This window comes from Homo sapiens, chromosome 19 (genome assembly GCF_000001405.40).
Source record: "Homo sapiens chromosome 19, GRCh38.p14 Primary Assembly".
Classification (NCBI taxonomy): Eukaryota; Metazoa; Chordata; class Mammalia; order Primates; family Hominidae; genus Homo; species Homo sapiens.
The window spans coordinates 15,245,496-15,270,577 of NC_000019.10; the positions used below are offsets into that span (position 1 = coordinate 15,245,496).

A 25,082-nucleotide genomic window follows, 5' to 3' on the forward strand; every position below is an offset into this window, starting at 1 on the left:
AGCATACGCCCCCACTCGTGTGGGCCGACGGCTTGGCACCACAGTAGGGTGGATGGGTCCAGGGTGTGTCTGCCCCTGAGAGGTGTACTCGAGAGCCAGCGTGCCCACCTCTGTCCTCACCCCAGAGATTTACACTAAGGGACTTTTGCCAGTTGGATGTCCCCTCACCAAACATGGATGGTGTACAAGCCCCACAGGGGGACATGAGCCCTGGCCAGTGCTCATGGGCTGGCAGGTCACAGTCGCCTGCCACCAGATGGGAGGCCGGGCCCATGGTATGGCGCCTTTTGGATTCCTGTCACTGAGAAGCACCTCATGGCACTGCCTGGCTTCGCCTGAGCTCCTTGTCAGGGTGCTGCCTCTTGCTGCTGGTGTTGGAGGACACATGCTTTGCCCAAATCCAGGCTCCTTCCACTTGGATCTGCTTCGTGGAGGGCCACGCTAAGCTTCTGTGAGGCACGTGGCCCTCAGTGCAGCATGCCACCAAAAGGGATGGGGAAGGACCTTGTGCCCTGTAAGAGCTCACCACTCCACGCCAGACAAGACACAGACACAGACCTCAGCAGCTACAGACACACGTCCTCGTACAAATGACCAGGGGCTGCAACTGGGGACACGGGGGAACCTGGGGCCCCGCCTAAAACCTGCATACAGGGCTCAGGACGCTCTGGGTCAGAGTATGACATCTGATGAGAGAGATACTGTTGTGGGTGAGACATGCCAGAAGGGAAAGCTTGAGTAGATTTGCAGTGTCAGGGCAACAGGGAGTCTGACTGCTGTGGTGGTGGGGGGAGGAGCGCTGGCTGCAGAGGTTGGCAGCCACAGGACCAGGGGGACCCTGCACACTAGGGAACTGGGAAGAAAAGGCCAGGGCTTCTCTCCTGGCACAAGGAGGTGATGGAGCCGCGCTGTCTGGGGGCATGCTGGGCACACCTTGGAGGGGACCCGGGGCAGAAGGCGGAAGGTAGGGGGAAGCAGCAGGGCCACCGTGTGAAGTCCGACTAGGAGAAGCCTCAGGGATGTGTCCAGATATAGAGTTGAGGGAAAAAGTGTGTGTGCAAGGGAAGGATATGCTGGGGCTCGCCTGTTGTCTCGTGGCCTTGGAAGAAACCTTGTTTTTTTGGTTGTAAAAGAGGGATGGTCACTCTAACCCCTCACAGCCTGCAGGCTGTGAGCAGAGGCCCATAGGAGAAGATGTAGGGACAAAGCGCAGCAGGGCCTGTGGGGGGTTCCAGGGGGCATGTCTCAGCTGCCTTGGAAAGGCCACAGGGAATATCCTGAGGACTTGTCTCCAGGGCCCCTTGCAAGTGCTGGGGCCCCCAGGCAAGGCAGGCCTAAAAAGTGGGGGAGAGAAGGCGGCATGTGCACGGCAGACCCCCAGGACCAGATGCCTAAAGGGGCTGGTGGTAGAGGTACCCCCTTCTGGCCCATGTGGTCTGAGCCTTGTGTCAGAGTTACCAGTAAAAGACAAGACAGGAAGTGCACAGCTTCACAACACACCAGCCCCAAGACACCCCCACACAAAACTCTCTAGAAAGGGTTACATGAAGATGGCCTCAAGTACGGTGTGATCTTTATTCCATGACAATCTTCAACTCAACACAAATTTCATCTTTACATAGGATGGTAATTGTACAAAGAAATAAAATGTTTTTTAAAAATCCGATTAAAACACTGATTCCACCCACCCCCCAGCCCCACTCCAGTGAAGGAGGTAATGGAGGGTAAGGTCAGGGCAGAGGAGAGGAGTCCCCATCTGCACTGAGCGGCCGCCTCCCGCCCCTCCTCAGGACCCACAGCCAGCTGGTGCGTCGAGGCCCGGCTGGCACTTCCTGCACAGGAGGCTGCCAACAAGAAGTGAGTGGGCACTGTCCTCTCTGGCTGTTCCTGGGGCACCAAGCACAGGTGACAGCTTAAGTCTAATGAGCTTTCAAGTTCAACAAGCCCTGAACGTTCTCTGCCAGATGGAAGCCCCACGGGCAAGAAGGACAGGGTCCCTGGACAGCGAGGTTGAAAGGACCCTGGAGGAGAGCTGGCTTGTGGCTATGGCCCATGTGCACACGTGTGTGCGCGTGCGTGCGTGTGTCGGGGGCAGCATGCAGGCCCGACACTGGTAATCAGGCTGCCATTTGGTCCAAGAAAGCAGAATCTTCCCAGAAAGACAATGCCAGCAGCTCCCCAATTGTCCTGTGGGAATCTGGGCATGAAGGCTCTCCTGCCTGCTCCTGTCTCAGGCAGGCGGGACTGCAACAGGAACACATCAGGCGCAGGCCAAAGGGCAGCTGAGAATAGTTTGTTTGGCAAACAGAGCTTAACTGGAAGCTGGATGCCCAGAAAGGATCAAGAGCAGCCCAGGAACTCCTGAGCATCAATGCAGGGCCCCGGGAGGCCCTGGTGAGGCCAGGGCTAGCCCCTGCTTCCACAGCAAATCTGGGGCAGTTGCAGCTGCTCAAGCCCAAGGAGCTGAGGAGAGCTGCCAGAGTTCCCAGGCAGGTGGGGAGCCTGCACCCAAGGGCTTGCCCATGGTGATAGCCCACTTCCAGTTCCAGAAGAAGGCAGGCCTCTAGGAAGCACCCACAATCTACACTTTAAAAAAGGAGAAAAAATGAAAAGCCCCTGAAACGCAGATGCAGTTCCTCAGGGGACTTTTCATGTCAGGCAGTTTTCTGCTGAGATGCTGGATTTGTGACCAAAAAAGGGCTGGTATTTATTTTTAGAGCAAAAAAGCCTATTTGTGTCTCTGGGAGGGCTTGGATGATGTGGCCACACTCGCCTGCCCCAACCCCAGGGGCTGTCGTCATTCTAAGGGACTGAAGACGGGGAAAATGTTCACACTGTTAACACCAGTCAGAGGTGTCCATGGGGCAGTCCCTGAGGGTCTGTGACACCCTCTCTGGTCCACCAGCCCAGACTCACCCCACTAGAGGAGGCGGGTGGGGTGAGGTGGGGTTGGGGGGATGATAGGCCCAAGGCCCTTCACCAGTGCCTGCCTGGCAGGTCCTGCATACTGCAGCCTGGTTCCAGGAGGTACTTTCCCTATGTGACTTGAGAAGACGGAGGCCAAAGAAACTGGGGAAATGCCCACCAGGCAACTTAAGCTTTTGGAAATGCACGGGAACAATGGAGACGAAGGAGGAAAGACTCCAAAAGGCTCAGAGTCAGCGGTGGCTCGAGCCTTACAGGGCACCAGTGAGAAGCATGCTGTGGGAAGAGCCTCACTGAGCCTTCCAGGGTCTAGAGGCCTTGCCTCTAAAGCTCCCACTCCTTATCTAGGACAGCTCTAGAGGTCAGAGTGTTCTTCCGCACACTGAACGAGAGCTCTCCTGGACTGATGTCACTGCAAGGTTCAGGAGGGAAGTAGTTAGGGTCCAAAGTCCCAGAAAAAGAGGGATGGGACAAAGAGAGAAAACATACTTGGGGTCTGGCTTTGCACACAGAGTAGCACCACATGAATGCATGTGTTGGGGATTGTCATCACCCTCCAGGAGATGCCACCCACCCAGAGGACCCCAGAGAACCAGGAAGGCTGGGCAGGACAGCCAGGCAGTCTTTACACAGAGAGGCCTGGGCGGCTGGCCAGGCAGGCAGCCTTCCCGAAGGCGGGACTAGGCGTGTGCTGCTGGACATGACTAATCCACCCCGGGGGACAGGCCCAGGGCTCTGAGGAATTCCATAACTTGATGGAGTCCTGTCCCTTTCACGGAAGAAAATGGACTTAAGCTATAGCTTGCTGGGAAGGAATCTGGAACTGAAGACCGTTTTATTAAGAGTCCGTGTCCAATGATTAGGCAGGACCTACGTAGAGGGAGAGAGAAACCAGTGTGAGAGAAATGGTGTGGAATGTACCATTTAAGTCACAAGAACAGAAGAACCGCAGACTGAGCCAACCTCCTGCGCCCTGGTGGCTGATGGGCACAAGAACGGCACTGGAGACTGGAGCCCTGCCCCGTGCCTGGCTAACCCTGGGTAGGGACAGACCCACCGCCCGCTTAGAAAGGTCACAGAGGCAGAATGCATGGATGCCTTGGAAACCGCCCCCAGCCTGCTCAGCTTCTAGAGAGTGGCCCTGGTTCCCACTAGCAAGCTCCACGTGTGCCCTGCCTGAGCGCACGCCGGCATTTCCTTTACTGCCCTCAAGTGGCTTCTTTTGAATTTGAGTGATGCCCCTGCCCTGTCCCACCAGCCAGGTGTGGCAAGCCCACCAGGCCCCTGCTGACTCTGAGCTCATCTCACCCAGGGGCTGTGCACTGTCTAGTCTCAGGAAGGCGATGCCAGCCCTTCCTCCTGGGTCTACAAGAAAGGAGGTACCAGAATGCAGGACCCCCAGTGGAGGGGAAAGAGCAAACAGCCTCATCTCTGCATTCCTCCAGATCCCCCAAACAAAAAGCTCAAACTCTAAAAAGCAGAACCTATTATATACACTGTTGAGGAGGAGAAAAAAAAGAAAAAGAAACAGGCTAAGGAATAAAGTCTTGTCCTTTCTTTCCTTTTTTGGGGTATCCAACATGGCTCCCTGGACCAGGGAGGGGCACTGGGCTTGTTCCCACCCACGTAGCAGAGCGGATGCCTCTGCTGGAGTCACGGATGCAACCGACGTGCTACTCCCTGGCCCCTGAGTGCGGGCATGGGAAAAACCCGCCCACTGGCGGCCTCTCACTCTGGGCCACATTCCACAAGGCTCGCCCTCACCCGCCCATGAAGCCCCAGAATCCCTCCAGCTGCAAATGCTGGCTGTTTGTGGGGGGAGTCACCTGGCTGTGCAGACAGAAAGGCTACTGCCCTATCTTCAAGTCTCTTCCTACTCCCCCACCTCCAGGGTCCTCACCATTCCCCTAGGTAAGCGCCACACTCTGGAGCAGGCAAGCAGCAGGCCTGGAGATGGACTAAGTCCCTCAAAGACCCTGGGGGTCAGGAAGCTGAGGCTGGTTGTGTGGTAAGAACGCCCCATGGCCTCTGTCTGCACTTCCCAGCTCAAATCTTTCCAAAACATCAAGCATTCCTTTTTCCCCTGGAGCTATTAAGAAACACCCACATGCTCCAATCCTGGGAAAAGGAAGCCAGGAAACTAAAATAGCTGGACTGCGCTCCCGTTCCAACTAGACGACCAGACCAAAGCCCAGGAGGATCTCTCACACCTCCCTGAGACCCTGTCCCAGCCCAGGTAGCTGAGGTTAAACGGGTATTCCTAAGAGGGACATAAGCTGTGGGGACACTTCTGCTCACAAAGACCTGTGCATGACACTTGGGAAGAACCAGATGTCAGCTATGTGACAAGTGAAAGCTAGAAGATTCCTAGGACATGCCCTGCCCCATGTGCTTGGCAGACCTAACCCCAGTGCTAATGACAGCAAAGCCACAGTACTGTCCACAGCCCACCTGGGACAGTGTCTTCCTCCAGCCTGCTCCACCCAGGTCTGCAGATGCCCTAGGGGTGGTGGGAGAGTGGCATTTGTGCCCTACCCCTGCCTGTCTCAATACAGAATCCTCAAGCAGCTCCAGGCTTTAGCTGGAATCACAGCTCAATGGAAGACCACAGCCCAAGCAATAGCTGGAATCAGAGGAAGTGGTAGGGCTGGCCCACTGCACTGCATGCTGCTGGGGCAGAGGGTGGGGAATACATGGTGGCCTGGGACACAGCTGGGAAAGCAGCACCCACCCCCGCCATCCTCCTCCTGCCTGTGTTCCGTTGCTCCCTGAACTAGAGCCTGGCCCCAGAGGACCACCCCACGCCTGCATCAGTCCACAGCATCCCGGTCTATGGATAGCTACCAAGAGGGGTGTTCATGTATCACACCCCCCAGCCTCAATCTAGTGACTCCATTCGTTTTCTTCTGGTGATTCATGTCTCAGGGCCGTTGTCAGCGGAACTAACCCCGTAGTATAAGTGACAAAAATAGGCCCTTTCAGGAATTTCGGCTCCAATCCAAATGGAAACACAAGAACGGGGGGGGGGGGGGGGGCGGGGGCGCGGGCCTGCAAATCAACTAGGCACCAAAAGACCAAAGGGAAATAATGTTCCCCCACCCTGACCCACTCCCGTTAAGGCAGAGCTGCCTGTAACGGGCCATGGACATCAGGGCTGCCGGGATTCCTGGACCCAGGAGAGCAGCTGCTGAAGGAGCTACGCCCCCTCTGCCCCCCGCCCTGAGAGTGCAGAGTCCTGTGCGGGACAGGGCAGCAGAAGGCTGTATTTACTGGTGCCAGGGTGTGGGTTCCCATTTCGGGATCTGCCGTACGAAACCCTCGCAGCGGCCCCTCCTGAGAGGAGAAGCACCCTGCCGGCCCACGACAGAGCTCACTCAGTGCACACAGAAGGCAAAGGAAAGCCCCTGCTGGCCAGGATTGGGAAGACAAAAGGGAGCCAGGCAAAACCCAAGGTGGGGAGGGCGCCTGGGAAGAGGGGAAGGCCAGAGCCCAGATAGCTGCATGAGCGGCCAGGGCTGGACCGCCAGAGCCTGGGAGCCTGGGAGCCAGCGGCTCTGAGACTGTAAATCTCGCCCTCCTTCCCGCCAGGACAGCTGTTCCCAGGACTCTCAGATTACTTGTTGCACAATCTTTCCACTTTTTTTTAAAGTGGGGGAGTGAAAAAATAATAAAATCTCGGCAGCGGCAGGAGGGGTGTGGGGCACTCGTTCAGGAAACCAGGAGCATTCCCACTCCTCTCCCAAAGCAGAGGAGCCCAGAAGAGGGACGCAGAGGCCAAGGGCAAAGGCCATGATCACACACTGGAAATCAGGATGTGATGGCCACAGCCCTCTAAGGTGTCTTGTCTTGTGAGGGCTAAAGCAGCACACTGCCACGACCACGTCATGTCATTTTAGTTAATCAGGTCCCCTGACAATTTCAGCATCTGGGGTTTCCACTTGGTCACTCAGATCCTCAGATGAGAAGACTACAAAACCCCTGGTAGGAGAAGTCAACTAGAAAACAGGAGGTGCAAAAACCCAGAGGAAGGCAAGCTGGAGGCTTGGCTGGCATGGAAAGTGAAAAGTCAGCGGCCACCAGGAATGCTAATTGGATCCAAGAATACAGCCATTCACCCCAGTCACTCTGCTGCGAGTGGGGGCCCTAGCTTCGGGTGGCAAAGCCAGCCCTTCCTGGGCAGCCATGGGGTGCAGTGCCTCCTGCTGGCTGATGGATTACAAAAGCAGTGTGGGGAGAGTAACGGTTAGAGATGAAAGGGTGAAGGATGGCGACAGGGAAGGCCAGGAGGCCAGTGAGCTGCCCACGGCATTCTGCATGCAGTTGTGGTAGAGAATGTGGGCATCTGGAGTCCTGGAGGGTCCTTCAGCCCACTTCAAGGCAAGTCTCCTCACTCACCTGGGAAGCAGAGGGCACCAGGCTGTCCAAGGGAAGAGGAATACTGACAAGGCCCGAGGTGCCACCTACCCCCACCCCATCTGTGCACACACACCTCAGAGCAACATGGCTCTCCCCAGCTGCCGTGAAGGGTCCTCAATCTTCCTTGGCACGATCAAGTTATTTACATGCACTGATTATTGAGGGTTAGCATTTATTTCTAGTTAGAATAAAATCCCAGGGATGGGACAGGCCCGTGGGAGAACATGCAGGAGTCTACTGCCAAAACACAGGTTTCCCACTGTGGATCCCCACTCCCCAGTCTGCCTGAGACCCTAGGGCCAGCTCTCAGGTGGTCTGCAGCACGCCAGCTCACTGACAGCTGCACCAGCCTAGCGGCAACCCCGTTGGCCGTAAACACAGGATGTTAGCTCCATCTCTCAGCAGGGGCTGGTCGCCAGGCCTTCTGGGCACCATGGCTCCCTCCCTAGCCTCTCCCCTGCGCCAGCCTGAGCATCTGCGCCCCTGAGAATAATGAGGAAAGTGCACACTTGGAGGAGAGCAGTCCCCTCTCCACTCCCACCTGGCACCCAGCATCACTACCTGCCTCCACCTCCCACTGAGGCTGCTGCTCAGAAGGTGGGCTCTAATGGGGAACCCAGGGTCCAACGTGCAGACCCACGGGGCTTGAAAAGAAGGGACTGTTAGTTAGAACTGCAGGAGGGACACGCAAGTCCAGGTGCGTGTGGAGTTAGGGCAGATTCAGGAGCAGCCAACACAGCAACGAGCACACTCTGGGGAGGGGTAGGCAATGGCTGGGGCCCAGGTGATGGCAGGGCCAGCAGCAGACTGGCGATGCGGCTGGCCAGCTGCAGTCTGCTCCACATCCACCAGAAACCAGCGAAGCATCTCCCTGAAGCGGCCGCACTGCACGTGACTGTGATACGGGGAAGGCCCTGGGGACACGAAGTCTCCACTGGTGCAGAAAGCTGGGTGTGGTCACATCAAGGTCAACAGCACAGCCTGGACCCCCACGCCCACAGTCCTCATGGCCCAGCTTCCCCGCCCACCATCCAGGGCTCCGCAGTGTCAACGCCCTTGGCCATTCATCCTCCATGACCAGACCCTGGCAGGGAGAGCATAACGGCCAGGCCGAGAGAATGGACACTACTGCACAGAGTGCAGGGCTATTCATGGCCCCAGGGAGACAGTTAACAAAGAGACAGACAGACAGAGGAACCCAGCAAGTTCTGGGAGTGCCGTCTCTGGGCTCTAGCATCCTGGACACAGGACCGAGCTAGTGCCAGGCACAGGTGGGAAGAGTTTGGTAAGACACGTAGAACACAAGTCACCTAACCTGTTTCGGAGTCTTCGCTGTCAGAGGAGCTGGACTCACTGGAGCTCTCCGACTCTGAGGACGAGAAGCCCTTCATCTTGGAGGAGCCGGCAATCACATCAACTTTCTCAGCTGCAATCCAAGCAATGGGAGCTGGTCAGGCAGGGCTGTGGCCCAGGAAGCCGCTCTAAGCCATGGGCACACCCCATCCATCTGGAGGAAGGACCAGTGAGGAGCCTGTGCACGGTGGGCCCAGGGGCTGCTCCCAACTGCCAGCTGCCACTCCCAGAACCCACGTGGTCCCACAGTTCCCATGGGTAGACTGCTTACAATGGAATTTCAAGGTTCCTTCAATCTCTCAAAAAGTCTCCTTTGGGGGGTTTATCAAGGATTCAAGAGACCAGGCAGAAGGATAATTTCCTAACACAAGGTACCGCTGGGCATAAGGCTTGGATTCTCCCAGTTACTCTTCTAGCAGGGGAAGAAGAAGATCCAAAAGGAACATGCTGCCAAAAGGTAACGCAAGGCAGGGAGAGACCCCCGGGGGTCTCTCAGCACAGCTGTTCAGACGCACGCTGGAATCATCATGTGGTGTGCCCCAGGTAGGGGCCCAAGGACCCCAGGAGCTAGTCAGGGCTGGGGACAAAGACTGTGTGCAATGCCCTGACACCGATCCTCAGAGGAAAGCCGTAGGCCAGGATGAGCTGTGTGACACAAAAGAGCTGCCTGGAAGAGTCCAGAAAGGATGCCACACCGAACTGTCCCTGCTAGAGAGGGACAGAGGCTGGCTCAGTGCTGCATAACGTATCGGTACACAGGTCCTGGGACCCTGCAGACCCGCCTTTCCTCCTTCCCCAAAGAGGCCGGAGGAAGACTCAGCAGCAGGTAGCCTGGGTTGAAAGCAGCTCCGGCTTAGAACACAGCTGCAGGCAACAAGGTGCAGAGAGGCCCCAGACACCACCAGTCAGATATGTAGAAAGGCACTGACAGCCTAGGGGTGAGTGCAATGTCACAACCTTTCGGAGGTTTCTGTGTCAAGAACACAGATATTATAATTGGAAAAAAAAAAGGGGGGGGGCGCAGAAAGAGTGGACTGAGCAAGGAGGGAAAAGTTACTCTGAGGGTGCCCACAGAAGGAACCCCATGCCCAGGGGGCCCAAGCACACCTTGAGGTTTCCTTTTCTTCCGCAAACAGGAGGTGACATAGCGCTCCAGCTCACGCAGTGTGGACGGCTTCAGGGTCTCAAAGTCGATTTCAATCTCGTCGGGGTTGGAATTCTTCAGGGAGGGCTCCCGTGACTGGATGATGTGCACCACGCGGCCCAGCTTCTCGCCGGGGAGCTTGTTGATGTCCAAGCTGAGCTGCCGCTTCTCCTCATAGGACATAGGCTTGCACTTGTCCTCTTCCTCCGACTCATACGTGGGAGGGGGCTTGCTCTTCATGGGCGCTGGCTCCTTCTTGCTACGAAGGGACGATGCAGACACCATCAAGAACGGGCCCCCTGAGGAAGCCAGGCACTCATTCCTCCACATGTATGTTGGGGGGAAGGGGTGCCCTTCCCATACCCCCCACCCACCAGCCTTCACAGGAAACGGGGCATGGGCAACTCAATCTCTGGGAGCACCCAGTGGAGACCGAAGCAAACTGTGACTGGAGGCTGCCCAAGTGGGGGATGCACTACAGCCCCATCCTTGCCGCCTATCCTCCCCAACCAAACATGGTGAGCTCCGAAGGCTCATCCTACAGAAAGAGGCAGAGACAGTGCAGCTAAGTCCTGTGTGCAAGTGGCCACCAGCCTGGCCTGTGAAGCCACGGCTGCAGAGGGGCAGCCTCCGCACCCAATGAGGACAGGGAGGGGCAGTGGCCCACACAGTCTCAGAGCAAGCCCTGGAAGGAGGGTCCCCACCCAGGACAAATTCAGGGGACACAGACCTCACATTGCTGTTGCTGCTATTATTTTTCTTCGTCTTTTTAGGAGGAGGTTCCTTGGCTTTGCTTTTTTTATTCTCTTCCACTTCCTCTTTCCTTTTGTGCTTTTCTTTTTTCTTTTCCTTCTTGTCTTTCTCCTTTTTCTTTGGTTTGTTCTGCTGGGGCTGAGAGAGGGCTGCAAGCTGCTCGTGCACGGCTTTGAGCTGTAGACCAGACAGGCAAGACACACACTCAGGGCTGAAACCACCTTCCTGTCACCCAAGACCCAGGCGTCTGCTCCAAAAAACATGCGACAGCATGCACCTGGGGCATCAGGGTGTGGGCATAGGGGAGGCAGGGGAAGGGAAGGCCCCCAGCTTTGCGCCTGTCATGTTAACCAGATTCCTAACAAGACTATCTCCACCCATTCACTCAACTCCAAAGACTGCCAGTGTCTTCCTCACCAGAGGAGCTGATCAAGCCGACAGACACCAAGTCTCACGGCCATCCTGATCGCAGAAGGAGGGCCCCTAAGAATCTAAGTAAGAGCACACGGACACGTCAGGCACGAAGGGCCTGATGACTGGCTATAGGGAGAGGAGCAAACAGGTAGCCCCAGGAGAGACGAACATCCTGGCTCAACCTCCTCCTTCCAGATACTGAAAGGATCAAGCCACCTCCTCTCTGCCCAGAAAATGGCCATGTCCCTCCCCATCCCCAACCGCAAGCTCAACACATATATCATACATACGTGTATGATCAACATGCATTTGACCTAGCAAAGGGGAAAAGGCCACAGGTGGTCCAGTGGGAATTATGCTCCCTTGGGAACTCAGAACCAAGAACATCTCTTAGAAACTTCTGGGGAGGCCACCCTGGTCCACGGACTCTGGGGATTAAGAATGGAGCCACCAATGCCCTCACCTGCTCCTGGAGCTCAGCCAGCCGCTGGGCTCGCTCCTCCTCAGAGTCATCAGTCGAACTGTCACTGTCCGAGGAGCTATCGCTGCTGCTGTCGCTGGATGAGGGCGGGGCCACAACCTTGGTGGGAGGGGGCACTGCCGGGGAGGACACGGCCACCACTGGCTCCTCAGGCTCGTCCGGCATCTTGGCAAAGCGCATTTCGAACACATCCTGGTGAGGGAAAGACATGCTGTGACGGCTGCTGGGTACCCAGGCCGCGGCCTAGCATCACCTGCCCTCATTGGCTGCTGGGGCCAACTCAACAGAAAGCAACCGAGGGCGAAAGAGGATGGTGATCCTGTCTCTTTGCTGCCGAGACAGGGGCAAGGGCCAGCCAAGGGCCTCTGACAACTCTTGCAACACTCTTCTCTCAAATCTCACTTTGAAGAACAAGGTGGTCCAGAGATAGCGGGGCACTCACTCCCTGGAGGACACCGCCCAGGCAAGGACATGAGACCCAGGCCACTAAGACAGCCAGCTCACTGAAGTCTGAGATGGTACTGGACCAAGGGCATCCTCAAACCCCAAAACAGTTAGCCGAGGCTCCCACCAGATGCGTGCGGGGGAGCAGGAGTTGTCTGTGGTTTGAGAGGGCATTCCAGGCAGAGGACACAGCACACGCAGAGGTCCCCGGTGGGAATGTACCTGCCACAAGCGCACCTCCTCTAGGGGACTAGGCTCTGCTGTAGCAGACACGGTTCTAAGTCGGTCTCCTCATTCCTCAGATAGCCCCTGCAGCACTTAACCAAGCAGGGCTGCACCACTGGAGGAGGCATCTCCAGCACACACAGGACAAGGTAAGAGAGGTTTAGGCAGCAGGTGTGGGGCACTGAGGACAGGCTACAGGAGGGAGCCACTGTGCGCAGGAGACCCTAAGACCTTTCAACCCTAAGATCCAGCAATCAGATGGAACCACGTGGGGTCATGGAGCTCAGGGAACAGCAGCCATGCATGGACACTGGGGTCTGGCCACACATACTGCCAGCCAGCTGTCAAGTCCCTGCCCTACCCCGGGGGCGCTGTGCTCAATCCAGTGATGGCTCAAGACAGAGGCAGAAGCACAGGCCTGGCTTCCCAGCAGGATTCTGGGACCCGCTTCAAACCAGGAATAAACTGATCATCGTGGAAACACACCATGGCAAAGACCTTCCCCCAAATGTGTGTCAGTGCTTCAGAGAGGACCACGGCCCTGGAATCCCCTCCTGATGGCTCAGGAAACACTCCTTGAGGCTTCCTCTCCCACGCTGCTGGAGCAGGCATCCCATATAACTGTGGTGTTGATTCCCTCCCCTCCAGGACACCCGGAGTATGACTTCTTTTAGCCAATAACTTTTTTTTTGGAGACAGTCTTCACCCAGGCTGGAGTGCAGTGGCGCAATCTCAGCTCACTGTAACCTCTGTCTCCCAAGTAGCTGGAATTACAGGTGCACACCACCATGCCCAACTAATTTTTGTATTTTTAGCAGAGGCAGCGTTCTACCATGTTGGCCAGGCTGGTCTTAAACTCCTGACCTCAACAGATCCACTTGCCACAGCCTCCCAAAGGGTTGGGATGACCAGCGTGAGCCACTGCGCCTGGCCCAATAACTTTTTTCTTTCTTTCTTCTTCTTCTTCTTTTTGGAGATAGGGCCTTGCTCTGTTGCCCAGGGTGGAATGCAATCAATGGCTCAATCATGGCTCACTACAGCCTCATCCTCCTAGGCTCAAGAGATCCTCCTGCCTCAGCCTCCTTGAGAACTGAGACCACCATGCCCAGCTAAATTTTTGTGCAGACAGGGTTTTGACATGTTGCCCAGGCTGGTCTCCAACTCCTGGGATCAAGGGATCCTCCCACAAGGTGGTCTACAATGAAAAGTGCCAGGATTACAGGCATGAGCCACTGCACCCAGCAAATACCTTTATTCAGAAATAACTCCTTGAGCAGGTCTGAGACAAGGAAGAAGATACACAACAAGGGACGACCAGAGGCCATCACCAGTTAGCCTCCCAGGAGTGGGGCCCAGGGAGGAAAAGGTGGGGGGCTTCACATCAGAGTGGAGGCCCCAGTGAGAGAGTAAGACAGATCCCTAGCCCTGCAGCACCCGGCTACGTGGCAGGTGGGTAGTGCCCTGGATGTGGGTGGGCTCAGGTCCCAAAATGACTCCAAGAGGCAGCTGGGGCCACATGAGCTTCTGGAAGAGCCAGGCCTGCTGCCAAGCAGCAGGAAGCAGGTTAGAGAAGTGGGCCTCAGAAGTGCCAGGACATCATGAAGGGAGATAATCAGCTATGCCTCCCAGGACAAAGGGAGTGCCCTCTACTGAGTGGTAGCTACCTCAGCGAACTGGTCTGTAAGCCTGGGCCAGCTTCAAGACTTGAGGATGTCCTTGTTCCTCCCCACCAGGTGATGACTGTTGGGTAAATGCTGGGGTGGGGGTGTGTGGCATTCACTCTGAGGCCTCCTTCCATTCCCTGGGTGCTCATGGCCCTGGCTCTCCAAAGGCCCCAACAACAAAGAGCAAAAAATACAAGACACAAAGTCAGCTAAGATGAGAAACTAACATTGGTGGGACTGGGAACTGCCAGCTTCCTGGCGTGTCCAGTTGTGTGACCCTGTCATCCTTCCCTGTCTCTTGGATGTGAGAACTCTTGTTGTAGCCTGAGTGGGGGGCATCCTGGGAAACCCACAAGCCAGTGGGCCCAGGGCTGCTGTAGGAAAACCTTGCTGTGTGGCTTCAACAGTCACAAGTCTCCAAGTACCAGCTTGATGGTAGACAGGAATGACGAGCTCCCTGTTCAAGGAGCTCAGTCTAGCTGGAAACAGAAAGGTGAATGAACACATGGGCAGCAAGGGGTTGCCATGAACTGGAAGTGTGCTGAGACCTAAGAGTGAAAAGAACACAGTCAGGGGTGCTATGGGGCCAGCAAGAGGACAGTAAAGCCCAATTCAAGATGCACCGAGGCAAGCCTCTCACAAGGGAGGATGGTGATGGTGAGGGGTAGCAGGCACCAGCACCCGCCAGGGAACACCGAGTGCAGGCATTCTGTTGGGCTGACAGTCTCTTGAGACCCAGCTGAGGCCCAGCCCCCTGCCCGGCATCCCACAGACCTACACCTCACTCCTCTGGAGGTCTGGGTCTGAGGTCATGCTTCTCAGTTTCAGCACACCTCACTGGTTTCAGACAAGTATCTCAGCTGTCAGGCTGTGGAACACAGGTTTTCTCAATGACCCGAGAATTTAGAGGCTCAGAGAGAAAAATAAAGTGGCTCCTTTTCCAAGTAACTTTCCAGATAATCCCACTTCTTGGGCCCAGCCAAATTAAGAGACCCAATTAAGCAGGTCCCAATAGCTCCTGAAGAAGTGAGCAAGGGCTGGAAGCTTTGTCCCTCCCCTTCCCTGATGGAGAATTTGCTCTCTACCTGCTGATGCAGAGAAAGTAGAGAGAAGTAAGAAAAACAAAGCCTGAAATGCCACAAACACAACTGCCCACTGAAGAGAAGCCTGCTCTGGAACCCTCCACCATCAACTCTGTTGCTCAAACAGAAACACCTCTACCAAGCACTGGCAGAGAGGTGTCCCTCCCAAGGGCAGGCGAAACAGGCTGGGCCAGAGGCAGCCCACCTACAGCACCCCCCACCCCTTGCCTGCACTAGGCCCCCTTGAGATTGAGGCCTGTGTCCACTCCAGTCCGGCACCTGGAGCCCGTGTGTAGGAAGAAACTCTACTGCTGCAGTGTCTGTGGTGTGACAGACATCCAGTGGCCTTGGTAAACTCTACATTCAGGCAGGCTTACTCCCCTCTCAGAAGGAGAAAAATGCAAAAAAAAAAAAAAAAACCACTTAAAACCCAAAAATCTTTGTTGGAGAAAATCTGCGAAAAGGAGGTGGCTCCAGGGTGTCAGGAGAGGACAGAAAAAATGAGACAAAAATGAGGAAGGAAGGGCTAGAACACATCAGAGGGTGCTTTTTCTTTTCTTTCTCTTAGTAAAGTAGCTCAAAACAGTCACCTTTGGTGCTGGAAGAGAATTTGTTTCTGCTGAGTTCTTCCTATGAGAGTAGATGAAGGGCATGGGTATCAATGTGAGCAGTGTGGGCAAAAGCTGCGCCCCTGTCTTCTCAAGAGAGTGGGAGAGAGGGAGCGGTGGAGGAGTTGAAGGCACCAATCTGAGGGCGCCACTGCCACCGGGTGGCCCTGAACAAAAACTGCATTGAAATTAAAAAGTCTGGCCGGGCACGGTGGCTCACGCCTGTAATTCCAGCACTTTGGGAGGCCCAGGCAGGCAGATCATGAGGTCAGAAGTTCAAGACCAGCCTGACCAATCGGCAAAACCCCCTCTCTACTAAAAAACAAAAATTAGCTGGGCGTGGTGGCGTGCGCCTGTAATCCCAGCTACTCAGGAGGCTGAGGCAGGAGAACTGCTTGAACCAGGAGGCGGAGGTTGCAGTGAGCTGAGGTCGTGCCACTGCACTCCAGCCTGGGCGACAGAAAGAGACTCCATCTCAAAAAAAAAAGAAAGAAAGAAAGAAAGAAATTAAAAAGCCTGAACTCCTTCAAGGATGGGAAATGCAAACATGAATGATGAAGGGGCAATGTTGTTTGTGAAGAAGGCACACAGACAACACCAAAGTGAAGAGAGGGCAACAATTCCCCAAGTCACAGAAAATAAAACTAAGAAACAGGCCAGGTGCCGTGGCTCATGCCTGTAATCCTGGTAGTATGGGAGGCTGAAGCAGGTGGATCACCTAAGCCCAGGAGTTTGAGACCAGCCTGGGCAATACAGTGACATGCCATCTCTACCAAAATACAAAAATTAGCCAGGCATGGTGGCACACGCTTGCTGTCCTACCTGAGAGGCTCAATTGAGCACAGCAGGTTGAGGCTACAGTAAGCAGAATGACACCCCGTTTCCAAAAATAAATAAATAAAAAAAAGTAGAAATAAAAAGCTCCAAGCCTGAGCATGCATTTAAATAACAAGAGCCACATCCACACTAGTAAGAAAGAGACCAACAAACTTCACAAGGGAAGTGTTTATCCTACCTCAAGAGTTTGAGCACATGTCCTCTGAACCCAAGGCAGCCCCTGATCCACAGAGAATAGGAGAGACAGTGCCTTAGGTCCAGTGGGAGCAGGTACGGGCTGCTATGCTGGGGAGTCTAGGACAACATGAGAACTAGTGCAGCTGGGAGGCAGGCAGGCAGTGGGGCTCTGCCTGGCACCGATCCACAGGTCACCAAAGGCTTTCCAAGTCCTCACTTCTGCCCTGGAAGCAGATGGCTGCGACAGCCAGGTGTGCAGAAGCCCGCTGAGGCCTACAATGAGCACATCAGCACCTCATGATGGCTCTGACCCTGAGAACAGAAGCAACCCATGGCCTTGGGGAGAAGATGCTGGGAATTTTTATGATCATTTATCTACAGTCTTAAAGAATTTAAAAAAGAAGATGAGTCTCTAATCCCAGCACTCTGAGAGTCCGAGGCAGGTGGATCACTTAAGCCCAGGGGTTCCAGACCAGCCTGTGCAACATGGCAAAACCCATCTCTTTAAAAAAAAAAAAAAAAAAGAAAAAAAAAAAGAAAATAAACGAGGCAAAATTAGCTGGGCATGGTGGTGCAAGCCTGTAGTCCTAGATACTCGGGAGGCTGAGGTGGGAGGATCGCTTGAACCTGGAAGGCAGAGGCTGCCGTGAGCTATGACTGTGCCACTACACTCCAGCCTGGGTGACAGAACGAGACCCTGTCTCCAATAATTAAAACAAAAAAAATAGAAAAGATGATGATGATAGTACTAAATATTGACTTTATTCTCCAAAATTTTTAACCCAATCTTATTATTCAAAGAAAGTCATTTTTTAAACTTAGGTATTTTTCCTTTTTTAAAAAAATTAAGTTTACACATCTATGCTGTAACCTCCCCTCCCCGCCCACACGTGTACTTCACACTGTGCACCACCCAGGCTCTCAACTTGAAGGAAGTGACCCAGGACCCCCAATCAGAATTGTGGCCATGTGGAAACAACCACTCTGCAGCTAGAAGGCTCTTACGGCTCTGGTGGAGGGATGTCCACAGTGCAGATGTCCTCAGCTCACGACTGTGACAGCGACTTCTCGGCAAGAGTGCCCCCCACCCCCAACCCACTTGAGACAGGTGTGTTTTGTAGAAGAGACTGGGCCATGCACAGCACACACCCGGTCTTCCAGCCAAAAGCAAATGAGTGCTGGTGGAGGGGGCTTGCAGTGGAACACCCACTCTGCTTTAATTGAATAACCCCAACTTAAAATGTATGCACTAGGCTGACTTTAGGCACTTTTCTAAAGCAACATGGCATTATCCCAAGGAAAGTGACAGAAAAAAAAACTCTGCCAAGGCCCACAGAAGTCTGCTCCCACGAGGACCTCAGCCTGCTCTGCTGAGGGTGGCTGCGCCCTCCCAAGCCTCACCTGGAGCTTGCGGGCCATGGCCACCACCTCATGGTCAGGAGGGTTGTACTTATAGCAGTTGGAGAACATCAATCGGACGTCAGCACCAAACTCCTGAGCATCACGGTACTCACGGGCCTCCAGTTTAGACTGGAAAACAAGACAAGTCCCTGTTAGCTGTGTCTGCCCATGTGACCATGGAGAAGTGGCTGGCAGCAGACGAAAGGGATGCCTAGAAGAGCAAGTTGGTTTCTTGGCTCTCAGTTTGGTCAAGACTCTAGTGGGGGGACAGGCCATCACCCCAGTTCTCAGCCTCAGGGCTGGGACTGGCCCTGCCAACATCCCAGCTCACCTGCCTGGCTCGCAGGCAGGTGGACTCAGAACCCACAGGAGGCGGAGCCTGAGCCAGAAATGACGGGGAGAACTGATGGAGAGGGCTGGGCCCAGCTCATCGTGATGACACAGTACAGGAGCTGGTCAAAGGGACACAGCACTGTTCCCTGCTCTGCCTGCCCCATGCTTGGGACTCCACTCCCAGAAGAAGAAACACGTAACAAGTCTTAAAACTAAAAAAGCCTCAAAACACTATGGTGAAAATGTCGGCACTTACAGCGTGCCTCCAACACAGAGGAGACAGCAAGGCCTTCTCCACCACAAAGAGGCTGGCAAGGCCGCCAAGCCCCAACTCCCATGGAGCATCTACTGTGTGGGCAAGGTACCTGGGGCACTGGGCCCCCAAGGCCAGAGGGCTTGTCTTGCTTTTCCTCAGACTAGGGGAAGGGGCAGCACAGGCATCTGTAGCCACAATGGCCAAGCACCAGGTCTCAGAGCACGTCCCACAGCAGACAGCAGGGGGCGCTGAGTTTCTTCGAGTTGGCGGGAAAAATCCACGCAGCCACCGTTCCAGGGCCTGGGCTTCCTCTTGGACTAAAAGGTCTAGGAAGGTTCTGATGTGGAGGGACAGCCTGCCCACCTTGTCCCTTCCCTCAGGCACATCCCGCTAACCTTGATTGTGCTCATGTCCATGGGGTGCTTGATGATGTCACAGTAGTCGTGTAGGCCCAGTGCCTCCACGTCCACAGGCTTGTAGAAGGGCCAGGCGTAGGCGGCGTGCTTCTTGGCAAACATCTCCTTGAGGATGCCGCTGCAGCACTTGAGCTGCTCCGAGACCTTGCTGCTCTTCTCTGGTGCTGGGTGCTGCTGAGAGTCGGGCACGTCCTTCTTTGGAGGTTTCACAGGCCGGCTGCTCTCCCGCCGCTGGCCCAGCTTGGTGGTCTTGGGCTCCGGGGGCAGCGAGGGTGGCTCGTGAATGGGGTCAATGGTGGTGGGGGTGGTGGTGTCTGCTTTCCTCTTCACTCCCTTCTTTGTCTGCCAAGAACACGGACGCCAACAGGCACAGTCAGAAGTGGCAGCCGGCACAGCTGCCCTCAGGGTCACCCCCAAAGCCAGGCCCTGTCTTGGGGCCCATCGCTCACACAGAATGGACCCAAAGATAATTGCACAGGCAAAGGGCCAAGGACAGGCAGATCGTGTCCCACCACTCTGCTCTGCAGCTGGGACAGGACCTGCCTGTGGCAGGAGAAAGCATAAAACTGTGTGCTCACTTGGAAGCCAAGGGACCTCTGGAGGCTGCTTAGTACCTAACACCAGGGCCTCTCCCCAAGTGCCCAGGGGAGGCACAATTCAGAGACTATTTAGATGGCCCATCTGCAAATATGCACAGTCTAAATAAAAGAGGTGCAGGGGGCAGGAACCCACTAGGAGGTGTGACACAATTATGGGACCTTTGAGTCAGTGGGGCGGCTGTTTCTGGGCTGCAATTTCAACACAGCAAGATCTCCCCAGAAACACCCACCAGTGCCCGGGACCCAGGACAGGCTCTGTGTAAAGCACGGGCAAGGACAGGGCCGCTCTCCTCCCTGGTGAAGCAGCCCTCCAGAGTCCAGGAGACTCACCTTCACAGGCTGTGGGGTGGCCGCGATGATGGGTGGGTGGCTCTGTACGGGCTGGGGAGCTGGAGCGGGTGGGGGTTGTGGCTGGGGGGGCACTGGCGGGGGCGTCTGCAGTGGCTGGGGAGGCACCACTGTCATGACAGGGGTCTGGACGATGAGGTCCGGGGTGACGGCAGGGAAGGGGTGAGGCGTGGCCTGCACAGGAGGAGGATTCGGCTGAGGGGTCTGGGTCTGCGGAGGAGTCGATGCTTGAGTTGTGTTTGGTACCGTGGAAACGCCAGGTTTTGCTGTCCCTACAAATCATAATAAGACGGCGAGTTAGAGACCATGCTGACATCCACATGCTGGCTGACCTCGTGGGGACATACACCACACACAGTGAACGCACATTCGCGTGTTGCATTTGCCTGAGAGACGAACATCCCAGACTCCACTCTGCCAAACCCTTCCACCTGTCCCTGGGGCTCAAAGAACAGCAGAAAACCGCACTTCCCATTTCCTAGGGCGTCCTGGCTGCAACTCCCAACTCAGGCACAAAGACCCCTTCATGAAGCCTGGAGGCCCAGGCTCAAGGAGCAGGAAGCACATGCTGACAGGGGACAGAGAGCGGGAAAACACTCCTCAGAGCTTCCAGGCACAGCTGCCCTTGTTCCCAGAAGCACTGCCTTCTGAGTAAGAGCTTCTGGCAGGGAGCCGGCAGTAGCCGCCCTTGCCAAGGTTTCTGGAAACTGGCAGGCCCCCACCTCCTGGAACCACAGGGGGCAGCTGGACTGCTGCCCTTCATGACTGGCTCGAGCGCTGCCTCCCAGCAGCTGTGCAGGCAGTCCGAACACACAATGGTCACGTGGCACACCCAACCAGCTGCAAAAAGTGAGGGGTTATGGCCAGAGCTCTAACAAAACTGGGTGGACCAGGGTGAGAATGTCTAGGAGCATAACCTGGGTCACCACATCCTTCGTGTGCATGCTGGCTGCCATGAAAATGGACAAAGACACCCAGTGCCTTCATCTATCAGCTCAAGCAGCACCCATGTTCCCTGTGCATCTCAAGGAGCAAGGGTGAGATTCTGCTGAGTTTCCCAATTCTCCTTCCTCAGGCACAACTCCTGGGCTTCTCCCAGACTGGAATAGGAGATGCCACCACGTCTGTCTGCCCAGCGTGCAGCCCAAACCCCTGGTCCCAGGGAGTGAGGACCAATATCCTCATGTAAGGATAAGGGATGTGACTTACATGAGGATCAGGAATGTGATCTGATAGGTACAAGAGCCACAGGGTGACACGTGAGACTAGTTCTCCTTGGTTACCTTTGGGTGCAGCAGGGGATGTAGCAACCCCCTTTCTGCCACCACTTCAGAACAGCATGGGAGGCCAGGTGAAAGGCTGCTGCTCAGAGAAGCAAACAACTCACACTCAGGGACCACCTCGCAAATGTCACCCTTCTGCAGCATGGAGTTGCAAAGGACAAGATGTAGCCAGTAGCTGCTGGAGAGTTTCCTAGACAGAATCATTTCCTAGAGTGGGCAGCTCTGCCAGCTGGCCCCTGGAACCCTGTGTCAGTTGGGGGTGGTGACAGGCAGAGATGGATGAGGAGGGCTTTCACTTCAGATGACTGAGCATCAGAAGCAGGGATAACTCTGACACCAGTGCATTAAGGTAATTCCAATCACAAACCTCAAAGTTTAGAACTGAGATGTTAGTTAAAATGATTTCTGGTCATGTTAATGTCCTTAAAATGGAAAAGTAAAAACCACCTATGATACTGGCAGGGTGAAGTGTTCAACAAACGTCAAAGTGCTTTGAGAAGTTACACTTTCCTTTTACCCTAAGTCCATCACCTACCCTCAGAAAAGGCAGGGCCCAATTATTTCTGCTTAGAAGAGGCCACAGGGCCACATGACCCTATGGGATGGATCCAACACCAAACCCAATCTCACATGTCCAAACACCAACACGGCATGCAGTATATAATGTCACATCCTCCTGCCACTCCCAGCCCCCCACCAAACTTGGAAAAGGGACAAAGGTCGGGGAGAAAGCCAATTTACTTGCTATTTCAGTACTCTACCTGTTTCTTTCCTCCCACGTCCTCTTCCTTTTGCCTGGACTATCATGATCTCGGTTTCTTCTGTGGGTAGCTCATTTATTTTTTGCAAGAAGAGCTTTTCCAGAGCTTCTGCCATTAAGACTATGTCATCTCCAGGCTGGATAAGGAGACACAGGGGTAGAGTCAGAGGGCCCTCCCCTCCCCACCTCTGTAGACAGGGCACCCCATGCCACCCACCCCCTGCCCCCAAAACATGAAGCGTCGTATTCCGGGTCCTTCCCCGATCTGCACCCAAAGGAGCCACAATGGCTACACTACCAGGTATCACAGAGGCTTGTGTTCCCACAGGTGTGCTGAGCCTACACTTGTCTACCTGCACCTCCCTCATCTTTTAAGCTCTGGCCTATCTGAGAAGCCATCCTAATGCCTTAAGCATCTACCAAGCTCAGCCAATCACTGAAAGGGGCCCTCCTTTGACACAATTCAATTTCACCAGAAATACGTGAATGACACAGGATTTCTTGCCATGATACATTAGCAGGGCCCCAGCAATGCTCCCCAACGTACCCCCATGGCAGCTCACCAGGACTCTGGGCACTGCACATCTCACACTAGTTGAGGGGTCCCACTCTGTCACCTCATCTATAACATGCTGTTCCCACTCAGTTCTAAACTGAGAGCCTGGTCTGCACATTTTGCTCAAACCTAAGTGGTGAGAGCTGAGACTTTAAAAAACACAGTAAACTTCAAGAAACTCACCTACCCATCTCTTCTGGGCATTTTTACCCACTACACCAGCAGAGGTCAAAAGCTGAGTTCTGTATAGTGTCTCCCTCCAGAGTCGTTCTATTTGAAAGGGTTGATTTTAATCACATCTGTGGTCTGAACTGTAAACAAATGATCTGGCTTCATGGCACAGCCGAGCCGAAAGGTTTGGCTACGGGGTTAGGAAGTGACCTTCAGGTCTACATGTAGGATCGGGGGGACACTTCATCTATGGCCAAGAGTTATTGACAGTCATGTCCACAGTTCCAGCAGACCATCACCCACAGAGCAACTGAGCTCTGCGCCGGCCCCATCACACCCTCTCTCACGTGGAGGTCTCTGTTTGGGCACACCTCTGCACAACTACATTTTAGCAGGCTCTTTCCTAACAATTTACATCACCCAAATGGACTTTGTCATGAGTCGCCACTATTCTCCTCACACCTTCTCTACTAGACATGCTCAGGAACCAAAATCCCAAGGGCACCAGAAGCACATGCTTCAGGCTAACAAGGACAGCTTGCAAGTTCAACATGGCCAGCACCCTCCTCCCAGCAAAAAAGCCCACACCCAGTCACAGGAACAACCACAGGTCTCATTACCTCTACCTCCAAGGGTCTCCTCTTGCCAGACTCCAAGCCCAGCCACACCCAACACCCCTGCCCACGGGCTCCTGACATGCCCACTGCCGTCGCCTCCCCTCCTCTCTCCCCAGGGCAGCTGGACACCCACCCCTACATCTCACCTTGTTGTAGATGTAACAATTTGTAAACATAGTGTTGAAGTCCTGGATACATTCCTGAGCATTCCAGTAATAGTTGTTTTCCAAGCGCTTCTTTATTGTTCCCATATCCATAGGCGTTTTAATGATCTTATAGTAATCCTGGAGAGCAGAGAGCAAAAGTCCAGTGTCACCTAGGCAGCCAGGCAGCACAAACGCTGGGCTGGCCAGGCTGGCCTGGGGACCTCACCCCTGGCTGCTCCACAGGTAAATCCACGGGAGCCACAGCTCCTACTGGCATCAGCAAGTGATCTTGAGGGGGAACACCAAAATAAAGTGGAGCGGGGAAGGGTTCCTGGATGCTGGGGAGTAATTCAGAGGGAAACGTACAAGTTTCCAACCACTCTATCTTGAAATAGGCTGCCTTCATTGAAATGCACATTTTTTCTTTTTATGGATACTAAAATATTCTTTCACTTTTAATAAATAAGGGGGAAACCAGGCAGCCTTTTAAAAAGCAATCCTCACCTAGTAAGACAACCCATGGCAGGTCCTACTTGTCCCATTTGAAATTTTACATGTCCATAAAATGCAAATTCCCCTGGCGCCAATGCTGGAGTCCACTTGTAACCCTTGACCCTGGCACTCCTGCCTCCTTGTCACCATGAAGAGCTGCGGAGCATAAGTTTCCACCCCTAGTCAAATTCACTGGACTTAACGTTTCTTTCATTTGCACACAGTCTACCACTAAGGATTCTTTAGTATCCAGATACTGCTGACTGACCAGGTTAACTGCCAAATGACAAATCTGGACAGCCTTCACAATCCTTAGTTTAAAAAAATAAAAATAAAAAATCCACCATCCCAACCCTCAAACTTTCAGATCTTACTAAGTGCCAAACAGAAGGAGCCAGATAACAGATGTAAACGTCTTAAAGTGCCCGAAATCAAACCACGTTATTCTCACAACTTCTTCTCTAAATCTAAACCTATTCTAAAACTAAGTTCATTTTTAAAAACAACCACAGAAGGAATGTGCGGACAGATCAAGCAGTGCCTGGGTTTCCAGGTGTGAGGATCACAGAGGGCCAGGCAGGGGGCTGCACCCAGACAGCAAGTCCCCAATGACTAGACCAGCTCAGGCTGTTGGCCTGACCCACCGATAGCCAAACTTTCTGAGTCATCACTCTGACTGAGGACAGGTGCTCCTGTAATTAAGTTCAAGTGGTGTATCAGAACCAAATCCAAGTGGAGTCCCACGGTAGAGGCACAGGCTGCAGGTGGAGAGGCTGTTGCAGGGAGAAGAGAGCAGGTATACTAACAGCAAGCACTGAGGCCCTGCTCGGGATGGTAGTGGACAGCGTTGGAAAGGCCAGCACAGGGTATGGGTGTGGGGTTTTTGAGATGTTCTGACATCCACGAGAAAGAGTCAAGGGCCACCTGCTTACATGTAAGGTTTTGGCACAGCTCATGGAACTGCCCTGGGGGTGAGGGCTACAAGTGCACACCCAGGCACCTTAGGCAAGTGGTCAAGAGGGGAGACTGGAAGCAGACTATCGGTGCCACTTTCTATGCTCTGACCTCCTTTCCCAAGAGAACCAAGTCTGAATAGATCTATCCCAGTGGAAATTTAAATTTTATTCTATGGCCAAAGGCCACTGAATTGGCCACAGTGTGTCACATGTCTCAATGGCCAA

The 25,082-nt window shown here is 54.3% G+C and overlaps 1 protein-coding gene across 11 annotated transcripts in view, besides 4 other annotated features; it reads right to left on the reverse strand.

Annotated features, from left to right (window-relative positions):
- Nucleotides 1–25,082, reverse strand: part of BRD4 (bromodomain containing 4) — a 97,021-nt gene that overhangs the window by 9,977 nt on the left and 61,962 nt on the right. For 4 of the 11 annotated variants that reach the window (NM_001379292.1, XM_047438543.1, NM_014299.3 and 1 more), the window contains exons 3-12: nt 23,410–23,547; nt 21,921–22,056; nt 19,859–20,148; nt 18,909–19,271; nt 17,925–18,053; nt 11,469–11,678; nt 10,569–10,768; nt 9,802–10,097; nt 8,657–8,767; nt 1,552–3,795 (exon numbers count right to left, since the gene is read on the reverse strand). In NM_001379292.1, the coding sequence (NP_001366221.1) occupies nt 3,785–3,795; nt 8,657–8,767; nt 9,802–10,097; nt 10,569–10,768; nt 11,469–11,678; nt 17,925–18,053; nt 18,909–19,271; nt 19,859–20,148; nt 21,921–22,056; nt 23,410–23,547 (1,884 nt within the window). In that variant the 3' untranslated portion in view covers nt 1,552–3,784. Of the gene's footprint in view, nt 1–1,551; nt 3,796–7,496; nt 8,289–8,656; nt 8,768–9,801; nt 10,098–10,568; nt 10,769–11,468; nt 11,679–17,924; nt 18,054–18,908; nt 19,272–19,858; nt 20,149–21,920; nt 22,057–22,662; nt 22,746–23,409; nt 23,548–25,082 lie in introns of those variants that run through there. The other 7 variants (XR_007066712.1, NM_001379291.1, XM_047438540.1 and 4 more) reach the window with 3 other exon arrangements.
- Nucleotides 5,049–5,920: an enhancer, noted in NCBI's record as "H3K4me1 hESC enhancer chr19:15361355-15362226 (GRCh37/hg19 assembly coordinates)". NCBI's record gives its function as "activates a minimal SCP1, AML or CMV promoter by ChIP-STARR-seq in naive H9 embryonic stem cells {active_cell/tissue: H9 hESC(naive)}" and the evidence as "EXISTENCE:reporter gene assay evidence [ECO:0000049][PMID:30033119]".
- Nucleotides 17,010–17,188: a silencer, noted in NCBI's record as "fragment chr19:15373316-15373494 (GRCh37/hg19 assembly coordinates)". NCBI's record gives its function as "represses an EF-1alpha promoter that drives an FKBP-Casp9 reporter gene in an ReSE screen in K562 erythroleukemia cells {active_cell/tissue: K562}" and the evidence as "EXISTENCE:reporter gene assay evidence [ECO:0000049][PMID:32094911]".
- Nucleotides 18,203–18,702: an enhancer, noted in NCBI's record as "H3K27ac hESC enhancer chr19:15374509-15375008 (GRCh37/hg19 assembly coordinates)". NCBI's record gives its function as "activates a minimal SCP1, AML or CMV promoter by ChIP-STARR-seq in primed H9 embryonic stem cells {active_cell/tissue: H9 hESC(primed)}" and the evidence as "EXISTENCE:reporter gene assay evidence [ECO:0000049][PMID:30033119]".
- Nucleotides 19,874–20,374: an enhancer, noted in NCBI's record as "H3K4me1 hESC enhancer chr19:15376180-15376680 (GRCh37/hg19 assembly coordinates)". NCBI's record gives its function as "activates a minimal SCP1, AML or CMV promoter by ChIP-STARR-seq in primed H9 embryonic stem cells {active_cell/tissue: H9 hESC(primed)}" and the evidence as "EXISTENCE:reporter gene assay evidence [ECO:0000049][PMID:30033119]".